The sequence below is a fragment of the Homo sapiens genome, chromosome 7 (assembly GCF_000001405.40).
Source record: "Homo sapiens chromosome 7, GRCh38.p14 Primary Assembly".
In the NCBI taxonomy this organism is placed as follows: Eukaryota; Metazoa; Chordata; class Mammalia; order Primates; family Hominidae; genus Homo; species Homo sapiens.
Genome location: NC_000007.14, coordinates 80134158 through 80159246, shown reverse-complemented (window position 1 = coordinate 80159246; position 25089 = coordinate 80134158). Strand labels below are relative to the sequence as shown.

Sequence of the window (25089 nt, the reverse complement as noted above, 5' to 3'; positions counted from 1 at the left end):
GGGCACAAGGGCACTGCTAACAAACAAGTAAGCCCCCCCAAAAAATTGTTTCACAAAAGTCTCTGTGGGACTGTGAGAGCACAAGCCACCAGAACTTGAGCCAGCAGCACAAGATAAATTTATTATGTGGCCCAGGATGGCACCCTCAGCTTGACATGGAGAACATCACAAGCAACTCTTCAAGGCCACAAGATAGACACAGCAAATTCAAGCCTGGGCATCAGCAGTATCAGCATGTCTGTGGTGGGTGGTGGGCAGTGGCAGAAGCTATGCCACCTCTAACGTCAACAGCTTTAGAAGACATCGCCACTGTGAGCCATAGTGAGAAAAGAGGAAAATGATAAGAGTTCCTGTAGAATCCAGGAGCCATAGGTCAAAGATTATAGCTGAAAGGTCCTCCCTACATATCCCAGGATGAACTGGGAGGAATTTGAAAGGGATGGATTGCCTGAGGCTGGCTTGAATAGCGTGGTGCAAACTGAGAAAATAGTAATTTGCCATTTATACTGTGACTATCAGTTTGTTCTCATGTTGTTAATTAAAGACATACCTGAGACTGGGTAACTTATAAAGGAAAGAGGTTTAACTGATTCACAGTTCAGCATGGCTGGGGAGGCCTCAGGAAACTTACAATCATGGCAGGAGAGGCAAACACATCCTTCACATAGCAGCAGGAAGAGAAGTGAGTGAGTAAAAGGGGGAAAGGCCCCTTATAAAACCACCAGATCTCATGTGAAATCACGATCGTAAGAACAGCATGAGGGTAACAACCCCTATGGTTGAATTACCTCCCACCAGGTCCCTCCCACGTGAAGATTATGGGAACTACAATTCGAGATGAGATTTGGGTAGGGACTCAGCCAAACCTTTTCAGTCACCCTTTAGAAAACAAGAATTTCATAAGTATGTGGAAACACTGCTAAATATTAGAATACTGATTAAGCAAACAAACACCTCATTAAGAGTTACGGAATTAGCCAGCAAATTATTTTGTAGATATCAAGAAAATGATTCTAAACTTTATACGAGAAAAAATCCAGAGTAGCCAACATGATACTGAAGGAGAAGAACAAAGTTGGAGTACTGACACTGCTTGTTCGCAAGGCTTACTTTAGGCCTATCATAATCAACACAGAAACAATAAGAAAATAACTTAGTTTAAAAATGGGCTAAAAACTTTGACACCTCACCAAAGAAGATATGCAGATGGAAAATAAGCGTATAAAAATATTCTTCAGGGCCGGGTGTGGTGGCTTATGCCTGTAATCCCAGCACTTTGGGAGGCCAAAGTGGATGAATCACTTGAGGTCAGGAGTTCAAGACTAGCCTGGCCAATATGGTTAAACCCCATCTCTACTAAAAATACAAAAAAATTAGCCGGGTGTTTTGGTGAGTGTCTGTAATCCCAGCTACCTGGGAGCCTGAGGCAGGAGAATTGTTTGAATCTGGGAGACAGAGGTTGCAGTGAGCTAAGATCATGCCACTGCATTTGCAGCTTGGGTGACAGAGTGAGACTCTGTCTCAAAAATAAAAAAAAGAAAAAAGGTGCTTCACATATGTCATCAAGAAAATGCAAATTGAAGTACCAATGAGATACCACTACACATTTATTAGAATGGCCAAAATCCAGAACACTGACACAACCAAATGCTGGTGAGAATATGGAACAACAGGAACTCTCACTCATTGGCAAGTGCAAAATGGTACAGTCTCTGTGGAACACAGTTTGGTAGTGTCTTACAAAATTAAACTCACTCTTACCATATTATCCAAAAATTGTGTCCCTTAGTATTTACACAAAGGACATTAAAACATGTCCACACAAAAATCTACACATGGATGCTTACAATAGCTTTATTCATAATTACCATAATTTGGGCAAACTAAGATGTCATTCAGTAGGTGAACAGATAAACTGTGGTGCATTCAAACAACGGAATATTATTCAGCTCTAAAAATAAATAATCAAACTATGACATAGAGGAAACTTAAGTGCATATTATTAAGTGAAAAGGCCAATCTGAAAAGGCTACATACTACATGATTTCAACTATACGACATTCTGGAAAAGAAAAAACTATGGAGACAGTAAAAAAGATCAGTGGTTGCTTAGCATAAGGTAGGAGGGAGAATAAATACGAGGAGTACAGAGGATTTTAAGGGCAGTAAAACTACTCCGTGTGATTCTATAATGCTGGATAAATGTAATTACGCATTTTTCCAAACCAATAGAATGTACACTACCAAGGGTAAACTCTAATGTAAAACTAAAGTCTTTGAATGATGATGTGTCACTGTAGGTTCATCCATTTTAACAAATGTACTATTCTGCTGGGAGATTTTGATAATGGAGGAGTCTATGCATGTGTGGGGGCTGGGATATATGGGAAAGCTCTGTACCCTCTCTGCTCAATAGTACTGTGAACCTAAAACTACTCTAAAAAATAAAGTCTGTCAAAAAATTATAGAATTAGAAAGCAATGATTCATTTCAATGCTCAAAAGCCCTCCTTTAGCTGGGCACAGCAGCTCACTCCTGTAACTCCATCACTTTGGAAGGCTGCGATAAGAGGGTCACTTGAGGCCAGGAGTTTAAGACCAGCCTGGGAAACAGAGCAAGATACCACCTCTACGAAATAAAAAATTAAAAAATTGGCTGGGAATGGTGGCATGTACCTGCAGTCCCAGTTACTTGTGAGGCTAAGACAAGGAAGATCACTTGAGTCAGGAGTCTGAGGTTAGAGTGAGCTATGGTTGCACCGCTGCACTCCAGCCTAGGCAACACAGCAAGACACCATCTCAAAAAAAAAAAAGCTTTCCTTTATAAGGGTAGACATGATATGACATGACATAACACAACATAACATACACTCGGGGTGTTTGATTCACCTTGCAAAAGGAAATCTTAAATCTCTTATTCACTGCTACATCCAGAGTATAAGAATCTTTTATTTCCGTATTTTCTTTCATTTCTTTTAACAGGATAAATGGTACATGATAAGCATACAATAAATGCCTAATGAGTACAACATATTTTTTAGGACTGGAAAAGTGAGAAGATTATGCAAATGAATACCACAGCCTCAGAAAACTAATGCCTGCACCAACAGCTCTTAGTTTTTGAATTTCACGAGGAAGAGAGGCAGACTTGCTTGCTGATATGTACATCAGCTTGCTTTCTTTCTTTTTTTTTTTTTTTTTTTTTGAGACAGAGTCTTGCTCTGTTGCCCAGGCTGGAGTGCAGTGGTGTGATCTCGGCTCACTGCAACCTGGGTTCAAGTGATTCTTCTGCCTCAGTCTCCTGAGTAGCTGGGACTACAGGCATACGCCACCACGCCTAATATTTTTGTAATTTTAGTAGACACAGGTTTCACCATATTGGCCAGGCTGGTCTCAAACTCCTGACCTCGTGATCCACCCGCCTCAGCCTCCCAAAGTGCTGGGATTACAGGTGTGAGCCACCATGCCCAGCAGTTTTCTAATAGTCTGCTCAATAACACACTGTATTTTTTTTTTTCTTAAACATCTAACTGTGTAACTGTGCTATCATTCCTCCTGGAATGCCATTGCTACTTAAAATTTCAAAACTTCAATTATAATCACTGATCTTCAATAATAAAGGCACCAGCCTACTCACTGACTTTGACACCTTAATGACTAAGAGTACAAAGTCTTGAAAACTAGACTACATAAAATACATTTAAGGAAGGTAAGCATACAGAAGTTTGTTTAATCCTGATGAAATCATTTCAGAATAAATAAAAACATAACCTCTAACTACCTAACGGAAATCACTGAAAACTCTATTTAATATTATAGACCTTACAGAGGCCCAAAGAAATCACTGTTAGGCATTATATATGTACTATTGGATAGAAATACAGAATTCGATATTACTGAAGTTGATAATGTATCAATGAATGTTTACTTTTTATGTAAGAAAAAAACAATTCAATGTTGATTAAAATATCCAAAAACCAAAATAATTCCTGTGTTTGATTAATATCAACTCAGAATATTCTGTCTTCCTTCATGTAAGGAGATTATAAAAAGTATTAAACTTTTTCTTTTACCAAGAAGAGCTCAATACTTCAAAAATTGCATAATCCCACATATTGAGTCAGTAATCTTGAAAAATCACTTCAGTTAGAAATACATTTATAACAAACAATACATTTAAACTTGAATTCAAAATCAGGCTATAATGGAAAAAATAAGCAATGTATTATTTTATTTTTTTCTGAATAGGTAATAGGTAACTTTCCTCTAGTAATATATCTCACTAAAGATCAAACTATATTTTATAGAAAAAGAATCTACTTTAAAAAATATTTTATCTATAACCTAGGAAGTTGTAAATCCAAGTCTTTCACAATTATAGCTCTCAAATAATTCTGGAACACAGCCCAGAAAGCTATTGCTGAGCCCAAAGCTCCACTGACAATAATCAAAACCAACTTCTTGCAAATGTAAATACCATTTTCAAGAAAATACCATTTTCAGGAAAACATTATAGTTTTCTCTTAAATATACAATGTGCACATCATTTCCTTTAATATAAAGAAAACCAACTATAAAAGATGATGTAGAAGTTTAACATGTTATTTGTCAACAATGAACCTAAAGTTATTGTAGTAAACAACAGAAAGCATGCTAGAGGCTTGTTTATGTAAGAAGAATCCAAATAAAAACTGAAGCCCCAGATAACTTCAGTCTGGAAATTAATGTATACACAGTGTTCAAAAAATCATGTTGCCACCTCATTCCTGCCACTCTTTCCAGAGCAAACCCAAGAACTTGGGGAAGATTACAGCTTTATTTCTAAAATCCCTGTGCACCAAGTTTAATCCTAGTTTTTCATAACTACACCAAGTACAAAATTCACCAAATTCACACAGAAGCTTAAAAATACACCATTAACAAAATGTTTACAAGTGAGAACTCTATTAAACACAAGACATTATAACCATAAAATAACAATTTAAAAGTGCACCTTTTATTTCCTTTCTAAAAAAAAGTTCAGTGGCCATGCACAGTGGCTCATGCCCGTAAATCCCAGCACTTTGGAAGGCCAAGGTGGGCAGACTACTTGAGTACAGGAGTTTGAGGCCAGCCTGGGCAACATGGTGAAACCTCATCTCTACAAAAAATACAAAATTTAGCTGGGTTTGGTGGTGAGTGCCTGTAGTCCCAGCTACTTGGGGGGCTAAGGTGAGAGGATCGCTTGAGCCTGAGAAGTCGAGGCTGCAGTGAGCCGAGATCATGTCTCTGCACTCCAGCCTGGGTGACAGAATGAGGCTGTCTCAAAAATAAATAAATAATTAATTAATTTAAAAAATAATCAGTTCAGTGACTATATAAGCCTAATTTCCATAGAAATGTATGTAAATTGCCTGCCTGAAATATTTCTAGGAGTTATGCTCAAGGAAACAAAGAAGTTACAGAAGATATAAAGATTAAGAAAACTAGGCAATCACCAAAGTGCAAGAAAAATAAAATACCACTTTGTGTTACCTAAATTTATTTTCTCCTTCTTGACTATGGCACAATGGATGTAAACCTTCTTGATGACCTCAGGAAAAAAGTATTTTAGGGCCATGCTTCAGAATGTTAAGGCCATTAATACAAGTCCTCAAAACAAACTCACCAGAAACACTCCCTTGTATATTTACACTATTTAAGCATTTCAGATAGAATAAGCATCCTACCTCGGCCACCTGTGTCTTATTAACCACCTCACTGTTTTCCTCCTACTGTATTAGAGAAAAAATACCTCTGACATTATTCCAAGTTAACTTGTGGAATTGGAAATAGTTTTATTTCCAATTTGATAATTAGACAAATCAGTGCTCAAACATACTTTAAAAGTTATTAGAAAAATACAAGCATTAACTACAGCTTACTAATTTTTAAGATGCACATTGTATAATCAAAACCAAGGATGTAAAACTATATTATGGCCATATTAATGGGAAAAAAAAAGAATACAAAGTGAAAATGAACCCTTTGATCCTTCTTGAAGACTATCTATGACATGACAAGCTTGATTAATTTAACTGCCCTCTTGGAATCTCCACCACTATCATGCAGGGGCTGGCCTGTCAATGATAGGAATATTTTTACATTGTGACACATTATCATAAATTTAATATTTTAGTTACTTTGGTTAATGGGAAAGTAATGATGTTAAAAAAATCTTTCTAAAATATAAAAGTCTACATTCTTCGGTAAATACAGTGTATTAGATATAATTAACTCTCTGTTCAAAGATTCAGGATATTTAATTGCCTCAGGTTTTTTTTTTAATAAATTTCACTTTTCATTTGAAATCTTTTAGCCATAAATAATGCAGGTGTTTAAGAATTGAGACTGAATCTGGCCGGGTGCAGTGGCTCATGCCTGTAATCCCAGCACTTTGGGAGGCCGAGGCGGGCATATCAGGAGGTCAGGAGATCAGGAGATCGAGACCATCCTGGCTAACACAGTGAAACCCCATCTCTACTAAAAAAATATTTAAAAATTAGCCAGGCATGGTGGCAGGCGCCTGTAGTCCCAGCTACTCGGGAGGCTGAGGCAGGAGAATGGCATGAACCCGGAAGTTGGAGGTTGAAGTGAGCCGAGAATGCGCCACTGCACTCCAGCGTGGGCAAGAGCAAGACTACGTTTCAAAAAAAAAAAAAAAAAAAAAAGAATTGAGACCGAATCTACCCCCAGATTAGATCCTTAAGTTGGTTTCTTTAACCCGTTTTTGTAAAAACAAAACATCGACCTATTTCAATGGATATGCATAACTTAGTTTCCCCTTTTAAACTATCTAGTTAAAACACCTGTTGGGTATATCAGTTAATAATGGTGTTGTAGTTATTAATTCTTGCAACATAAGATATAATTGTTCATTAATTTATTCAACAGATATTTACTTAGTGTCTACTTTTGACCAGGCCCTTTCTCCCTAATAGAGGGAAAAATACCATTTAATTGCATAACTGCAAATGCACACATGAAATAACATAAGGAAAGAAGCATAACAGAGGACTGAGAGGCAGTATAGAAGGAGACGACACCCAGCATGGCCACGTACTAGCAGTATGTCTTGGGCAAATTCCTTATCTATCAAAAACTCAATTTCCTGCTTTGTAACATGAGATTAATACTACCTGCCACCTTAGTTCTAGAAAACTGAAGGAAATAGCGTATACTAAAAAACTGAAAAGAGGCCGTGAAAGGAGAACAAAGTGAAAAAATTAAAAATAAACATGTCAACTTCATATTCTTGCTTGTGCCCTTTAATAGCTGAAGGGCCATGTACTAACAGCTCTGAACTTGAAATTCAGATGCCTCCCTATACAAGTTCAAATCACACCCCCTAGCATTTATCCCTCCCGTAAATAATGTTTCCTTGGTTTCTTTTGCCACGAAACTCCTCAAGGGCAGGATCCATGTATGATACATGTTTGGATCCACACAACCTTTGACACAGTCTGTAGCAGACAATAGGTAATATTTATTAAATAAATCTGCACTTAGGCAGTTTGAAAGTTAGAGGCAGATGTATTTTTTTCATGTAGAAATGCAGCCACTTGGTGGGGAACACTACTGAGCCTTTTCATTCATGATGATGCTTCATTGAGGCATTTATTCCACTGGGGGTGGGAGCACCCCAGGAATGAGGACTTTGCAATTAGAGAAAGAGAAGGGAAGAACTGAGACATCTTGTGGCATTTGATAGTAGGCATACCACATGTGAAAGCAGTTTATAGCTGACTGACATCACAACCAGGAGAGAACAAGTCATGTTAATGAGAACTCTATTGGTTTGTGGTTTTGTGTGTAATTTTTTTTTTTTGGCTTTGTGGTTATCTAGAAGTGAGAAACATTTTTCTACTTAATTATATGTTTTCATAGTTTTGTATATTGAAGTGATTTTGCAATACATTTAAATCAATATTAGGAATCCATAAGAACTGTTTTATTAGGGATCCAGATATTACTCAACTTTGAAAAAAGTTCTCCCAAACTCTGCTCATGAACATGCCTGGGCAGGACTGGAAACAGGTAAGGGTGGAAGGGCACTCCCTGAAAGAGGAACATAAGCAAGGATATCAAGATGGGAAAGCAGGGGAAGTTCTCATACTGTGGCAAGGGAGAAGCATGGGAAATATGGAAATGCAGGGTGGAAGCCAAACCACAGAGGCTCCTGAATTCCATGCTAATGAAGAGAACAATATTCTGTAAATAAACAGAGCTACTGACGACTTCTGGCCAGTTACTGATACCATCAAAGCTGTCATTCTGGAGGACTGATATAGACTGAAGGGTGGGAAGCACATAGGGAGGAAGACCAGGTAGGAGGACATTACAAAAGAATAACTTGTGTAAAAATGGAAAAACGGCGGATGATGGATGGACAATGCAATGCAATAAGGAGTAAATAAGGCTTGGGAAATAACCGGATGTGAAATCACAGAAAAACATGCCAAAATTGAGATGAATTAGCCTACAATAACAAAAGTTCTGTTTATTTACGAAATATTTCAGTCACATAAAAATATCTAGAAAATAAGATAATAAACATCTGTGTGTCCAGCATCCAGCTTGAGAATTAAAACACTGCAGTACCCTGGATGCATCCTCCTGATCCACTTCCCTCTCCGCCTCCTCAGAAGTAACCAGCACTCTGAATTTGATGTTTATCCTCTCCCTGCATTTATTTACAGTTTTCCTTTATGTGTTTGTACCTATAAACATATGGCATAGTTCTGAGGATATTTTAACTTTATACGAATGTGTCATAAAGCATATCACTTTACAAAGTGCATATTTAACTTAGCATTGTTATTGAGATTTATCAAACATTCACTATCTCCGTATAGCACTTCATTTCTATAGTTCTAACATAGTATTTCACTTTCAGTATATACCCTCATTTATTTATTCATTCCTGCTCACATATTTATTCACTCTTGATGATTAATAATTTAGTTCTTTTGAAATTTTGCTATTACTAACAATGTTGTAGTAAATATTTTTCCTGGTACATGTACACCACTTTCTCTGGAATCTATACCTAGGAATGGGATTATCGATTCAAAGGTATGTAACCTTTACTAAGTATTGATAAAGCTTTACCCAAAATTGTTTTACCAATTGATGCTCCCAACCAACAGTACATTAAAGCTGTCAAGTCAACATTTGGTATTGTCCGGTTCTGATGGCATCTCATTGTAATCTGCACTTCCATGAAAACAGGTGGTATATAGATGGTATGCTGTTTGGTCCCACTTTGTTAGGGTATGTAGGTTTTCAATGCTAACGTGAATTAATCAATCTTGTCTATTGTAGTTTCCTTTTTTCTTCTCATTTAACAAATTCTTCTCTACTTTAGTTTGTATATCCTGAAGGCATATAAAATTATGTAAATTTTAAAAATGCCTTGTTAAAACCACTCAAGGAATAGTTACATGGGCCAACAATTTAAGGCTTTCTAAATCCTCTCATTAACATGAAGCAAAACAATCTATCTAGGTGAAAAAATAACAAAATCAAAAAGTACATGGGAAAGCGGGAATATACAAACATGTAAAGTATTACAAGACAGGTTCTGATGAATCTCAAAATGGAGCACATTAACTTCTTTAGAGTATATAGTCCTTCTACTGCCCCTCAGCAAATCCAAAATTGCAGATTAAAGTAACAATGGGAAGCCATTGTTATCCATCAAGTTAGTGCAGATAATTACAAGAACACTCAATGCTCATGAGGGTAAGGTGAAACACAGCAGCTTCACATGCCTCCTGTAGGGATAGAAACTGGACCATTTAGGGGGTGAATATCTATACACATCATAAGCTTTAAAAGGGTTCAAAACTTTTAACCCAATAATTTAAGCAAATAATTAGGAATACAGGCAATGATACATGCATAAAATTTGACAGTTCCAGCATAGTACATGACTGTAAATGTAGGCGACATCAATTATCAACATTAGTGTGATTAAACAAATTATGGAATATCTGTAAAACATATATAGCCACTAAAGTTGGGATTTACAGAAAATATTTAATAAGTAAATATTTAAGCCAGAATAAGTGTAAAGTTACATTTGCAATACAACATCAACCACTCAAAATACATCGAGAAAAGAAATTTACTCAAATGTTTGCTTCCCTAAATGTCCACAGTATAGCTGTAATATTTTATATAGAGAGAAGCAGCATTTGAAAGTAAATACTAGAACAAAAGAAAGCAATTCCTATATTTTTTTCTACACTGATACTGCATATAATTAAGACTATTGAGACTACATTAGTATTAGTAATACCACATATCAGTCTCAAGACTGAACACCTCAAAATATGTGGGAAATATATTACAAGGAAGTTATAACTATATTTTTACCTCAAAAGTTCCATCAAATAAACTGGAGATATTAGTTGTAAACATCCACATAATATTTAGTTATTAAAACTACCATCAATCTAAATAGCTAATCCTAACTTTCAGAAATAAAGACAAACCCTTATACTAAATCATTTCTAGAACACAACCATTCAATTCTAAAACATTAGTTTGGTTCTCAACTTATTTCTCCATGGATATGAACCCATTCTAGAAATTATTCAAAATGGTTTTTAGCTTTTATTTTTAAAAGTTAAGTTGCTTATCTAACAAAATCATTCAGATGCTCTAATTTTCTAAGTTTTTTGTTTTTTTTTTAATTTTAAAATAACATTTTTTTCACTGATGGACATAAACGTCGACATATACCCAAATACAATGCAAAATCTACACAAGTCTATGAATTACAAAGCCTAAGTCCTACCGATTCTCCAAAAGGGGCCACTAAGATCTTTTTGAGAGTTTCATATTTTTCAGAATTGCTCTTTCTATACTACTTTTTAAATTACAGTTTAAGTTATTTCAGATGGGACTGCTAATTCTACAATGGACATTTGTCAGTTGACAACCTTCCAGAGAATTAGTTCTAAAATTCCAAGCATCACCATGTGCACAGTATAAATTACTGTGGAGTCCATTTACTTAGTGCTTAGCTCTGAAAGTCTGAAATAGTTTTTGGCAAAAAGCAGTAAAACTCAACCTGACCTATAAACTGCATTCATCTAAAACATCTTTAAGATGATTTACTACAAAGGCCTATCAAGACAAATGAGAGAAAGAATCCACAGCCCAGTTTTTATATTTAAACATAACTAAACAACAACAACAGCAACAAAAAACACATGGTTTTACCTAATGGTGAAATGTTCCAATAATGTGTTATGTACTTTATCAGCTTCCCAAAGACTTCCATTCCCACATATTTAGAAAATGCAGGCCATAGAACTGGCATTCTATAAATATTTGTTGAATGAATTTACACGTTTCATAAGAACCAGATGTCGTAACTGCAACTAAGCCCAACCAGCAAATGATATTATGATGAAAGTAGAAGCTATAGAACACATGCTGTTTAATCACCAAATAGTTCTTATTTTGCAATTACTTATCACTAAACATGAAGGGTAGTTTTCTAAGATCAGAATTCCCTTTTAAAAGCAATGGGAAATCATGTTGTATGCACCACCTACAGATCAGAAGAGCTGAAGTGATGGGGAAGCAGCACGATTATTTCAAGTCCAATGACTGTAAACTTAATCAGAATTTACAACTGTCTCAGTCAGTGAAGCCTGCTGTAACAGAAAACTATACTGGGTGGCTTAAACAACATTTATTTCTCATAGGTCAAGAAGCTGGAGATCGCATCAGGGGGCCAGAATGGTCTGGTTCTTGGTGAGGGCCCTCACTGAGTTATGTCTCATATGGCCACTTCTTGGTACAAGCAAGAGAGCTCCTGTGTCTTTTTTTTTTTTTTTAATAAGGATACCAATCTCATCATGAAGGACCAGCCCTCATTACCTAATCTAACCTTAATTACTTCCCAAAAGCCCCATCTCCAAACCCTATCACATTGGGGGTTAGGGTTTCGACATGTGAATTTTGGGGGAATACAAATATTCAGTCTGCACCAGCAACAATATTTATTTATGACAAAGGAATTTTATCACAAACATTACCAGAGGAAAACAGTCAGAAAAACATTATTATTGGGGCTCTTTCAGCCTGACCTGAACAATCGTATCATCAAAAGAACTCCACTTAAAACACTCTTGCCAAATCATAAAAGATTCATTATCACTAATTATAGTTTTTGGTCATTCCTAAGGAAGCGGATGTTTCCATGCAAGATGATACCAAATGGTTTCTCTCAAAATGCACTACTAAAACAAGTTTCTAGATTGACATTAGAAGAAGTTTAACTATAAAACAGCAATAATATTAAGTGTGATAGATATGTGTGTGTTCATGTACATGTGAATATCTAGAACATGATGAATGTTTACTCTGTGCAAGGCAGTGTTTTAAATACCTTACTGATAAAGTGATAGGTTTCATGAATGTGGCAAAGGCCAGATAAGATGTGAGAAATGCTTATGAAATGGATAAATGGAAAAGAACCAGAGAAGATTACCTCCTCTAGGACTCTGAGATGGACTGGACTGTGGCTCAGCAATACAAGCACCCCGGGAGCCTATGAGAAATGCAGAATCTCAGGCCCCACCCCAGACCTACTCAATGAGAATCTGCATTTTGAAAGATTCAAAATTACTTCTATGCATAGTAAAGTTTAACTTTAAAAAGAACGAGCTCTAAAAAAATAAGGTCAGCACTTGGATTGCAGCAAGGACATACAGTAGGAATAATTGTGGGAAAAAAACACAAAAACCTAACTTCAGAGCCAGACACAATAGAGAATGTAATATGAGAAATTTTTGAAAATTATTAAAGTGCTTTTTTTCTCTTTTGCATTTACATGAATAATGGGAGAAGAGGCAGACACTGGTATCATCCAGACAAAAATGGAAGAGTACAAGTGCCTTACTTTCCCAGGCATCCCATGGCAGAGCCTGCAAGCTTGGGAGCTACAGGGCATTCAGTTAGGAGCAACTGGAGCAGTCACACAGGGAAAAGAGAGGCAGAGTCAGACCCATATCTTAATCTCCACTCTGGGCCAAAGCTGAATTGTATGTCAGAGAAGATGAAGAAACTGCTAAAGGCAGTGGGGCCTGTTTGGGTTAAGAAAGTCTCCTAGGCAGCAACATGTATCCAAGCAGTATGATGAAGTGTGGCTAAGCAGAGGGAATGCCTGAGCTGACCTTTCCCCATCACCATGGGACCTCTGTGGAATGTATGCAACATATAATTTTCCTGATGCTTGAGATAACCAGAGAAGGCAAAGCACTCGAAACAGCTGAGAACCTGGCTACCTCATACTGGCTCTACAGGAAAGGGCTGCCTGGGAAAAACCAAGTAAGAAGGACACAGCATCCACGAGATTGAAAGGAAAACTGCAGCCAACCCAGGGTGTACAGGATTCACACAGACAACGTACTGCTTAATATATGCTCACAAATGAAAAATTATAAGAGGACACAATTTACCTCGAGACAGAGTCAAGACACCATAAATAGCTGAAGCTCAAGAACTTCAAAAATCGTTTTTCAGACTATGAAATAGGTACAATATAATGAAAATGGCTTTGAAAAAGCCAGAAAATAAAGAAGTAGAATAACAGACACTTTTTCAAGCTAAAGATTAGAAATGGTTTTTAGACATAGAAATTTCACCACTAAAATGTAAAGCTCAATCTATTAATAGGTAGATTAGTTATTACCAACTGGATAAAAATGAACCTAGAAAATGTGTAAGTAGCACAAAAAGATAAAAACCACAAAGAGGTTACAATTAAGTTCGAATGAGAAGCCCAACCTTCATATAAAAGGAACTCCAGAAGGAGAAGAGTACACGGGAATAAACACCACATTACCTCTTTAAAAAATATATAGATTGATATGGTTACATGACTGCCTATTTCTCAATACTTCTATATCAATCAGAAAGTCAATAATTTAAAGCAGAAAGTAATTTAAAGAGTGACTGCAAAGTGAAAAAGGAAAAATATGAACACTGCCTATTTTTCTGAATATTCTGAAAAGTTTAAATAAAAAAATAGATTAAAAATTACTTAAGGGGTGTATTACTTGGATTTTATCACTTTTAAAGCTAGGCATGACTTGAGACCAGGACACAGGAGTCTTTAAAGCAGTATGAAGATGCTAGTGGATCAGGTGGATGGAAAAAGGTGCTGGAGGCAAGAGAGGACGAATTGATGGAGGCAAGTGCTCAGTGTTGGTCTTGAATTAGAGGAGCACCATCTTATAGTCCCAGCAACTTTACTGACCACCATTACTTTTTACAGTAACAAAATATACCTTGCATACATTTCTTGATCTGATTGCTGATTGAATGTGCTCAGTTTGTGAAAACTTAAGTGAGCTAGTATACATGGATCAATTTCAAGCTATACCGAAATAAATGTAATTCTTGGAATTAGATTAACTTCGGAACCATATAAGAAGGCAGTTTAACTCCTACTACATTATATTGATTATAACTGTAAGTTTACTTACAAGTTCCATCCCTCTTAAATACCATGAAGAACAAAATTAGTAAGCCTTCAGCAACGGCTGTCAAATAAGATGTATGTGCCCAAACAAGAAAAATGAATAATATAGATCAGTTACTAGAAAAAATTCTGGATTGTACTTTAGTGAGGCAAGGGTAACAGGAGGAGTTTCATACAACTGAAGATGTAAGTCTTAAGGAACTCATTTTACAATTTATTAAAAGGCACAAATACTATCACAGATTCAACAATTCACTGTTTCTCTATTAAGGTTACCACCACTTTTAAAGACATTCTTCTCCTAAAAGTAAATCCGTTATAATCCTGGAGTTCTATCAGGAATCTCTTTGAGTCAACAGTGCAGGAAGTTTTAGAAAGGATTTTATATTTTGTGGAAAGTTGTCAAACTCCTCTGAGAAATGGCACCATCTTTTGAATAAACTTAACGTTTCATAATTTACACTAACAGCTTTATTTTCCAAAAAAAAAAAAAAGTTTGCAAAAAGCCACTGCACTAATTCTAAAAATGGATAATAAAATGAAGAGAAAATTACTGCTATAACATTTGTAAAATCTTCTGATTATGTAAAGTGCATTCTCTATAGAATTCTTAACACAGCACAGATATTTACCTGGTCTAGCCCCAGTAAGGAGGCTGTTAAAGAGAAATCCAAGTCCCTCAAGGAAGTTACGGTGGGATTAGAAACTAATGTTTAAAACTGAATTTATACTTCTTGAAGTCTTCACTATATATATACACACACACACATATATGCACACATATAGATACACACACGCGCGCACACACACACACACACATCCTTGCTAAGAAAAGCCAATAAAAAGAATTTAATGTCTATGACCACAAATGGATGAAACTGCAAGGGAGGGCTGATTCCACAGAGTCTCTGAAGTATTTATAATAATAGCCTATAATTATTAAGAATGTATGTACCATGTAGTATTCTAAGTACTTCAGATGCATTAGCTTACTTTGTCACTAGCCCTATGAAGTAGATATATTTATTATCCAGCATTTATAGAAGAAAAAACTGAAGCTTATAAAATTTGGTAACTTGCCCAAGGTCTCATGGGAAAACTTTTACCACCAGAGTTCTAAGTCAACTCACCTTTCCTCTCTGGAAAGCCTTTCTACAGAGCTAAATAAACCTTGGAGGGGAAAAAAATTCCTTAGACATGGAAAATGTTAGAAAACTAAATTCATAGATAGCAAAGTCTCTTCTACATTATAAGTTTCCATACAACACAAAGCTTACACCCAGTAAGGGTTAAATAGTAGGTTCAGAAATACATGAAAACAACTGACAGATTTATAACCAAAGTAATATCTGAGAGGCAAGCTACCTCCACCTCCACCCCCCAAGATCAACAATGAAGTCCCAATATTGACACTCACCTCCCCTACCTAGTATCTATTTTATTTTTTCTTCCCCATTTGACATTATGAGGACTTATCTTTATGTATATATTGTATTTCCCCAAGTAGACTGTAAATTCTCTTAAGGATCTGGTAAGGCTAATGCGTAATTTGACAGGAAAAGCATGGAACACATCTTACAAATGCTACTAGTGATCATCCTCACCACATAGGAACAAGCAAGACATAAAGAACAGTCTGCTGGTGAGCCTCTGAGCAGCCTGCTGGCTCCTGAAAGCTGAGGTTTACCAGAGTCACATCATCCTGTGTGAAATATATAGTTGTGAGTATATATTAAATGCCACATTGCAATAGTGTATGCATTTTAAGAAAGCAGCAAAATAACATGTGAAACAGCAAGGCAGCAATACTGTTAAAAACAAAGTTCCCAGAATATTCAAATATGAAAATCACATTTCACTCTACCACTTATTTACCAAGAATCATGATTTTGATCATGCAACAAGAATATGGTCCCCAAAATTAGTTTACTTTTTAGAAATGTGTTAGGAATAATGTAGTAGGTTTTCATTACTCTAAACCAGCAAGATATATATTGGGCTAAAATTCACTCAAAATACCCAAGGCACAAAGAATATGTACCAATTTTTCCCTTTAAAAGAAAACTAGTCAAAATTAATGTTCAACAATTTATCCATTAATTTAACCAACAATTATGAAACAGCTACTATGTGCCATCCCATCAGATGATAAGTCTGACAAGATTCATGCTCTGATGGGGCCAATGCCATAGAGAAAGGCAACAGACAATAAAAAATAAAAGTACAAGATGATTTCAATATGGTATTAGTAGGAAGGGAGACGAAGGAAGACTAATTTAGACTGGATGATCAGGAAAAATGTCAATAAAGAAGAGGCAAAGAAAAGCTTTATTCTTTCACATTACGACTTGAGTAACACCATGGGTTCAATATGACATGTAAGAAACTGGTGCTTTTAGTGTTACCATGATAGTCACATAAATTATGAGGGACTGGAGAATGTAAAATTACAATTATTTTGCACTTTCAAAAGTGATATATAAGATACTGATGAAGATAATGGGAAATGGGGTGCTGCTATAACAAACACCTAAAAATGCAGAAATGGGCAATGGGCAGAGGCTAAAAGAATTTTGAGAAGCATAATAGAAAAAGTCTAGGTGGTCTTGACATACTGTTAATAGAAATACGATGTTAATGTCTCTCCCAGTGTGGGCTCAGAACGAAGTGAGAAGCATGGTAGATGACACATTATCACCTTAGAAAATATGTGAATTATCATGAACATACTATTGCTAGACGCATGGAGCTTAAATTTGCTGCTGATGAGGACTTGGATGGGAAGAAAGGTGAAACATGTTATCAAAAACTAGAGGAAGGGGATCCTTGCTATATACAGGCAGAAAGCTTAGCTGAATTAAGTCCAGCAGTTACGTGGAAAGCAGACCTTGTAAGCTATGAACCTGGACATTAAGATGAAGAGATTTCCAAGCAAAGTATTAAAGATGTGGCCGGTTCTTTGTTTTTGTTTTTTCTTGCTGGTTACAGTAAAACGGGACAGGAAAAAGGTGAAGTAAAAGAATATGAAATGAAATAATGCTGTCAGACCACCATAATTCCAGAGGCAAGAAACAGGCTGATAAAAGTAATCAGCAGCATACAGGTGCTACACCCTTCATTAGAAAAGAAGGATGACTCCCAAGAGTGGAGAAGTTCAGTACCCACAGGGTGGAGTAAAGAGTCACAGAGAACTATCCCCAGTCCTTGAAACCTAAAGGAGTTTTGAAAGTGCTCAAAACTAGAGACTCCTTTTTTCTTTCCATTTAATGATAACCTATGCCTGACCCACCATATTCTGGGAGCAGATAACTTGTTTGCTAGTTTCACAGGTCCACAAACAGACAGGAATTTTGTCCCAGTATGGATTACACCCAGAATCTCACCTATTCCTGAGTTAGATCAAGAGCCCTGGTTGAGATTTTGCAGTCAGTTGTGGCTGTATTGGGTTGAGACTTTTGGAGATGTTGGGAGAGGGTGAATGCATTTTGCATGCAGGATGCACATGAGCCTTTGGGAGCCAGAGGGCGGACTGTGGAAGGCAAAATAATGGTCCCCAAAGATAAATATGTCCCAATCCCTGAAACCTGTGAATATGTCACCTCACAGGGCAAAAGGAATTTTGCAGATGTGATCTTGAGATGGGACTATTAACTTGGATTATGTGGGTGGGCCCAATGTAATTACAAGGGTCCTTCCAAGTGAAAAAGGGAGGCAGGAGAGTGATGCCACATGAGAAAGACTCCACCAGCTATTGCTGGCTTTGAGATGGAGAAGGCACCATGAGCCAATGAAAGCAGGCAGCCTCTGTAGAGCTGAAAAAGGCAAGGGAATGGATTCTCCTCTAGAATCTCCAGAAGAAAAGAAGCCCTATCAACAACCTGACTTTAGCCCAGTGGAAACCCTTTTTGGACTTCTAACCTCCACAACTGTATGACAATAAATTTTGTGTTGTCACTACGTTTATGGTAATGAACATTCATTAAAAAAAATTTTTTGCCCTATTTCCGTTACGGCTTTTAATTGGCACTAACAAGTTATGACAGAAACCAGTCTGAGCACTAAAAGATTAGGTAGAGCTGACCTTAGTTCGTAAGACTCAAATGGAGTCTGGGATCTGAACTTCACTGTGTCATACTCTGGGGAGTCATACATTGGTTAACTGCATGCCAGAACATGTGACCAAGAAATCTGCAACAAACACACTCAAATACACTCAGGTCTTCCTGTGTGAATTTGTTGTACACAGAATTTTCCAAGGCAGTTAGACATGTGTAACAAAATAAAAATTGATTGTGGTTGAATACACAATTTCTGTTTAAAAAATTACAGCAGTCTTTTTCAGGTTTAAATAACATCTATTAAATTCTGTAAGATAGGCATGTTTCCTATCACTGAGACATTCAACAACAGTCATACTTTTTATGCATTAGAAATTGGGGCCAAAGGGTGCGGTGGCTCACCCCTGTAATCCCAGCACTTTGGGAGGCCGCGGCAGGCGGATCACGAGGTCAGGAGATCGACACCACTCGGGCTAACACGGTGAAACCCCGTCTCTACTACAAATACAAAAAAATTAGCCGGGCGTGGTGGCAGGCACCTGTAGTCCCAGCTACTTGAGAGGCTGAGGCAGGAGAATGGCGTGAACCCGGGAGGCGGAGCTTGCAGTGAGCGGAGACTGCGCCACTGCACTCCAGCCTGGGCGACAGAGCAAGACTCCGTCAAAAAAAAGGAAAAAAAAAAAAAAAGAAATTGGGGCCAAAAATAAAAATTAGAAAATGAGATCTACCTTTACAAAAAAAAAAAAAAAAAAAAAATTGCAGGGCAAAGTGCCATAATTGCAACATAGCAGATCCTCCTCCAATGAATATCCATTATCATTTTCTCAACTTTAATTTATCAAATACAATGACTGTGAAAAGCTCTTATAAATATGAAAAAAAATCTTAAACCAAACAATTTGATTTTAGATGCCATGTGTTCACTGTGGTCATCACATAATTTACTATTCCTTTTTTGTTTACATAATTTGGCTGGACAGTTATTTGCTCTCATTGATATTGAAAACAGCAGAGCACAAAGTTTATATTCCAGCAAGATAATAATTTTACATAATTAAGAAGCCATTTTACACATAATAAAATAGAAGGGTTGTTAGGTATTCAAAGAAAACCTACAAAAATTCTGCCTTTAAAGTGCCCACAGCAGTAGGAAAATAGGCTGGGCAGAAGGATAAACAATACCAGAAATCAAGTGCAAATATGCTTTAACATGTGCCAACAGTTTCTGTTTGGAGAAGGGTGCCCTAAGGAAAAAGTATAAGGCTAGAGGGAAGCCAAGTCTAAAAGATTTTATTCTGCAGGAAACGGAAAAGTCAACAAAGGTTTCTGAGCAAGGAAGCAGCATGATATCTGCAGTAGAAAGAACAGGCTAGAGGGAAAGACAAGATGCAAGAGAGCCTATTGGAATTAGGCTGCCAGAGGCAGAGAAGGACTTGAACTATGAATATGAAAATGAAAAACAGAAGGTACAGAAAAAAATCAGCAATTCCAAAACCTGTGGCTTCTTACTAAAGTAACTAATACAAGGTATGCCATGAGAAAGAAGCACACAACCCATACTGAAATACCGGATCCGTTTATTCAAGGAAATGGGCTTTTTGACATCTAAGATCCTAAACCAATTCTAAGAAAGTCAAAGCAATGAAAAATCAAAAGCCCTGCATAGCCAACATTTCTCAACTAGGGGAAGTCACAGGGCAAGTTCAAAAGGAGTGAAGATTAATGATGCAGCATCCCAAAGGGCTGCCTGGTGGCAGCAATAGAAAAATATCCACCAAACAGAAGAAATCCAATCCCTCAGCTCATTTTCCCCCAAACCTGGAATATTTAAACCAAGCTGAAGAAGGAGACAAGGGTGTGGAATTTTGTATATGAGGGGGAGTGGAGCGGAAGGAAGGACAGTGAGGTGGAATAAATGAGAATACTGCTCAAAGCTTTGGAACAGAAAATAAATTCATGATCATTTATTTGTATGTCAAATCTTATGTCCTCCAAATACATAATAAAATAATATTTCATAAGTACAAGTAGTATACTATAGTTACCTACCGAAATAAAGCATAAGCTTAATCTTACTGCCCTTAAAAGGATGATAAATTAAAACATTCTCAAAGATATAACAATAAAAAATAATTTCCTCAACAATTAGACATTATTATATAAAAAACTTTCATTATTACTTACTTCTTTAAAATGTTTCTCTATTAAGTATTATCATCCTAATAAGCATAAAAACTAAACCTAAAAGACAAACAACCCAAACTCTGGCCTGATTTCCTTAGTGTCAATGATTAGACTAGCTCCTCTTTTTTTAAGGCCTAATTCACTGCTCAGTATAGTGAAATACCTCTGATTTAAATCATATAGACAGTGCCAAAATCTTTACTAATAGTGTGCAAGTCTCATATCTAAATTACTCAGCCCAGCTGTTTAAAATGACAATACATTCCTTAAGAAAAAAATGCAATATATTTAACAGACTGTCTTAAAAGTACTTTAGAGATTTTATGCCTTAAATTTAAAAAACATCATGTGATGAGAAAAACAGAATAAGTGAAGATGAACACGATCTAATGTAAATGGCTGTGACACTGGTTATACGTTACCTAGAAACGATTTTACATTTCTAGTTTATTCTACTGCCGTGTTTTACATGGAATTATTTCATTTAGCTGCTTACACATATGCTTTAAGGATTCAAAAAAGAACCAAAAGGTCACAATTTACTACTAAAGTCAAATTAGGAAAACAATGTTTTCGAACATTCCAAGAATTGAATTTCTGGAATAAGTAAGCCAGAATTCTGTTTACAGGACTAGGGTGATGGAACTCTGGGCAAAAGGGTAGACTAGAACGGGGATAAGACAGAGGAGAGTGCTGGGCCAGCAGGGACAGCCAGGATTTCCAGAGAGGAGAGAGGTAGGGAAAAGCAAAAGACCAAAGCTAGAAAAGACAGCCAAAAGAATTCAGTCACTTAAAGATTTCTAAAAATCATTCTGAAATATTTCCAATGGTACCAGTACTGGTTTAGAGAAATAAGAATTCTGGCCGGGCAAGGTGGCTCACGCCTGTAATCCCAGAACTTCGGGAGGCTGAGGCGGGCGGATCACCTGAGGTCAGGAATTGGAGACCAGCGTGGCCAACATGGTGAAACCCGGTCTCTACTAAAAATACAAAATTAGCCGAGCATGGTGGCACGCACCTGTAGTCCCGGGTACTCGGGAGGCTGAGGCTGGAGAATCGCTTGAACCCAGGAGGTGAAGGTTGCAGTGAGCCGAGATCGGGCCACTGCACTCCAGCCTGGGCGACTGCGCAAGACTCCGTCTCAAAAAAAAAAAAAAAAAAAAAGAAAAGAAAAGAAAAAAAAAAAAAGAAAAAAGAAAAAGAAATAAGAATTCCATAATTTCTTCTGAAAATGAGGCCTCTGCTACATCTTTCTCTGAACTCACTTATGATGACTGTCAAGATTCAACTTCTGGTTCTGTATTATACATTCAGTTATATTTAAGTCTTAATCTAGAACAGTGGTCCTTAACTAACGCTGTATTTTGCCCCCAGAGGACTTCTAGCAATATGTGGAAACACTTTTGGAGCTCACAGGTTAGGGGGCTGCTACTAGCATCCAATGAGCGGAGGCCAAAGATGCTGCTGAACATCCTACAATGCACAAAAACAACCTGGAGAACAAAGAATTACCCAGCCCCAAATGCCAACCGTGCTAAGATCAAGACACACTGATCTCTTCTGAACATAAGCAAAAGCCTACTCCTGGGACCTTTATTCTAGTCCATCCCTAACAGTCACCTAATTAAAGGACAAAACACCACCACCAGATGATTCATTTTTCAATTGCTTTAAACATGGTGGATGGCTGGCTCAAACTAAGAGTCACACAGAAATACACTGAAACAACGTATCACACCAGGAGAGCAAAAACTGCAAGAAAAAAACTTCTTAATCCTCTTATTTCATATCTATCTCACATTCAATTCACAAGAGAAGTACATACACTAACCTCATCAAAACACAGTATTTCTTATTAATGTAAAAACTTAGGCAAACAACATTAACTGAGAAAGATTTATGTTGGGGGCGACAGGGTGAAAAAAGCCACCCAGGTCTTTAAAATGCAAAGTTATTTCACAGTTTACTTGCAAAATGACTCAGATCATTATTACTTTTAGTCATGCCAACTTTGCTGCTCCCAAGCCTACTAGTAATGGAGAAAAAAAACCCACCATTTTTTCTGCAGTCATTAAACCAATGAAACAGAAGCTTACTGAAAACAGGTTTGTGCAACATTTCTTTTTTATTATAACTGGTATAAAAATACAAGCAGTCCTTGGAAATGCAAATGAAGATTCTGAGAAATTTTTCATCTATCTAAATACCTAGAGTGTGAGAAGAAAACATGCAAACAAAAGAAAACCCTAACTCACGAATCTTAACCTGTAAAGATTTTCCTAATGCTTCCCTCAGTGAAAACCCTGGTTTACTCTTTATTTTCTTCCCCGTCAAACATTTGGAAAAGACCTCCACGTAGCGTTTCACGAACAGAACAGTGCTAAGAACAAATAAAAGCCTTGCGTGTACCTGGCAAATCTCATTCATCAGAAACGGTGGCAGCGGAGACAGAACCCTGTTGTCTGGCGTGACCCTCTCGCTCTTTCACAGCAGTTTTCACCACTCGAGTATCTGCCTTGCCTACTACTAAAGCAAAGCTTCCCAACCCCACTTGGGTGGCTTCCATGCCCCCACAGCAAGAAAAATCAAGCATCCAGCGCAGCCTTTTCTCAGCGCAGGGGGAATGTAATCAGCGCTCCTTGACCACTTAAGGAGTCGCCATAGGAAGTTAACAGGAAAGACGCTTCAGCCCCATCTCAGAGGCCCCACAAAAGGTGCACTGATTTCACCAAACGTGGCACTCTGGGCATGAGAAAACCACAGTCGAAACACAACCTACACCGCACACGAAGAAGGGTTTTCCGGGAGGGGGTTGGTGGCGCGGGGGGGGGGGTGTTTTCATTTTCTAGCCGCGAATGCCCCTTCATCTTTACAAGGCTGAGCTAAACTTCAAAGCAAAGGGTTTCCACGCGACCCGCCGCCTCGGACTCGCGCCTGGGCTCTTTGCTGGGTCGCACGAAAGCATCCGAGTGAAGTGACGCGCCCGCCCCGCCGCGGGGAGTCCTCGCCCGCCGGGGCGGAGAGAGACCAGACACCGGGAGAGGGGGACCCGCCTTGCCTCCGCACCGCCGGACCCAGCTCCCGCTCAGAAGCCTCCTCGGGCGCTTCCTCCCCCTTCCCTCCGGGTTTCCAAACGCCGAGGGCCGCGCAGCGCCGCACCCGGTCCCCCGCCGACCCCCGGGCCCCGACCCGGCCGCCCTTACCGAGCAGCAGCAGCTTGACCTCGCGCGCCGCCTTCTCGCCGTCCTCACGGAGGTTGCGGTCGATCATCTTACTCCGCTCCACCGCCGCCTTGTCCTCGGCGCTCAGCGTGCAGCCCATGGTGCCGAAAGCGAGAGCCTGCCGCCGCTCCCTCCGCGCCCGAGTGCGGGCTCCAAGCACAGGGGAATCCTTTCTCTCTCCTAGCGGGCGTTCGAACGCCTCCCGACGGGGGCCACGCCGCCCCCACCACTTCCTAAGCGGAGTCGAGGGAGACGCTGTCCGCAAAGGGGCAGACAGCAACGGGCGGCTGTTCCTCACGACCAGGCTCTGCTTCCCGGCCCGGCTCAGCGCCCCCAAGTCCCGGGTTTGGGGTTTTGAATCTCTGGGTACAGTGGCCGCTGCACTCCCGCCGGTGGCCGCGCCGCAGCCTCGCCAAGCCCAGCCGAGCTCGGCCTCCGCGCGCCGCCGCGGCCCCGCCCCTGCCCGCCCCTCCCACCACCCCGCGACCACTCCCAGAGCGCGCGCCCGCGCACGTGCCCTCGGACAGCGCCCCCCGGCCCCGGACCCCGGCGCCGCGCCACCACTGAGGGCCTGGCGCCCCCTGGCAGCGTCCCCGGGGCGCGCCACTGCCCCGCGGGGCTGTGGCCTTCTGCCCTGGGCGGGAGTGGGGTAATTTCTTTCCGTTTACTCACACGGAGGGAGCTGTGCGTACCTGCCCCTTCGGGTGGGGGTGGGAGAGCTGCCAAAGTTGCCGAAAAAAGCCAGTTCTGGGCGTTTGAGCATGCCCAGCGCCGGCAGCCACGCAAGGTTTTTCAAAATGCAAATCCCTGTCGGCTGGTTTCAGGGCCGTGAGAAACAGGGAACTGGGGAAGGAATGGAGCCTGGTGAAACCAGAGATGGGCACAGTGGAGAACAGGAAAGTCGGGGGAGGGGACTAGAAAAGGGCACCAAGGTCACTTTCTTCCTACCTTTTGCTTCTCTTTCCTTCTTCCTATCCCTCCCTCTTTCCTTGCACTCTCACGTTTTTCACAAGAACGCATTTTGAAGGATTTCCTCGTAACCTAAAAAAAATGGAAGACAAATAATCAAAAGTATTTTTAAATGACAAGAGCAATAAAACACA

General features: G+C 38.9%; 1 protein-coding gene across 2 annotated transcripts in view; it reads right to left on the bottom strand.

Moving 5' to 3' along the window:
* GNAI1 (G protein subunit alpha i1) overlaps positions 1–24416 on the bottom strand; it is a 91351-nt gene extending 66935 nt beyond the window's left edge. The window contains exon 1 of one of the 2 annotated variants that reach the window (NM_002069.6): positions 23969–24416. In NM_002069.6, coding sequence (NP_002060.4) covers positions 23969–24086 — 118 coding nt within the window. In that variant the 5' untranslated portion in view covers positions 24087–24416. Of the gene's footprint in view, positions 1–23174; positions 23464–23968 lie in introns of those variants that run through there. The other variant, NM_001256414.2, reaches the window with a different exon arrangement.
* Between the last annotated feature and the right edge of the window lie 673 nt (positions 24417–25089).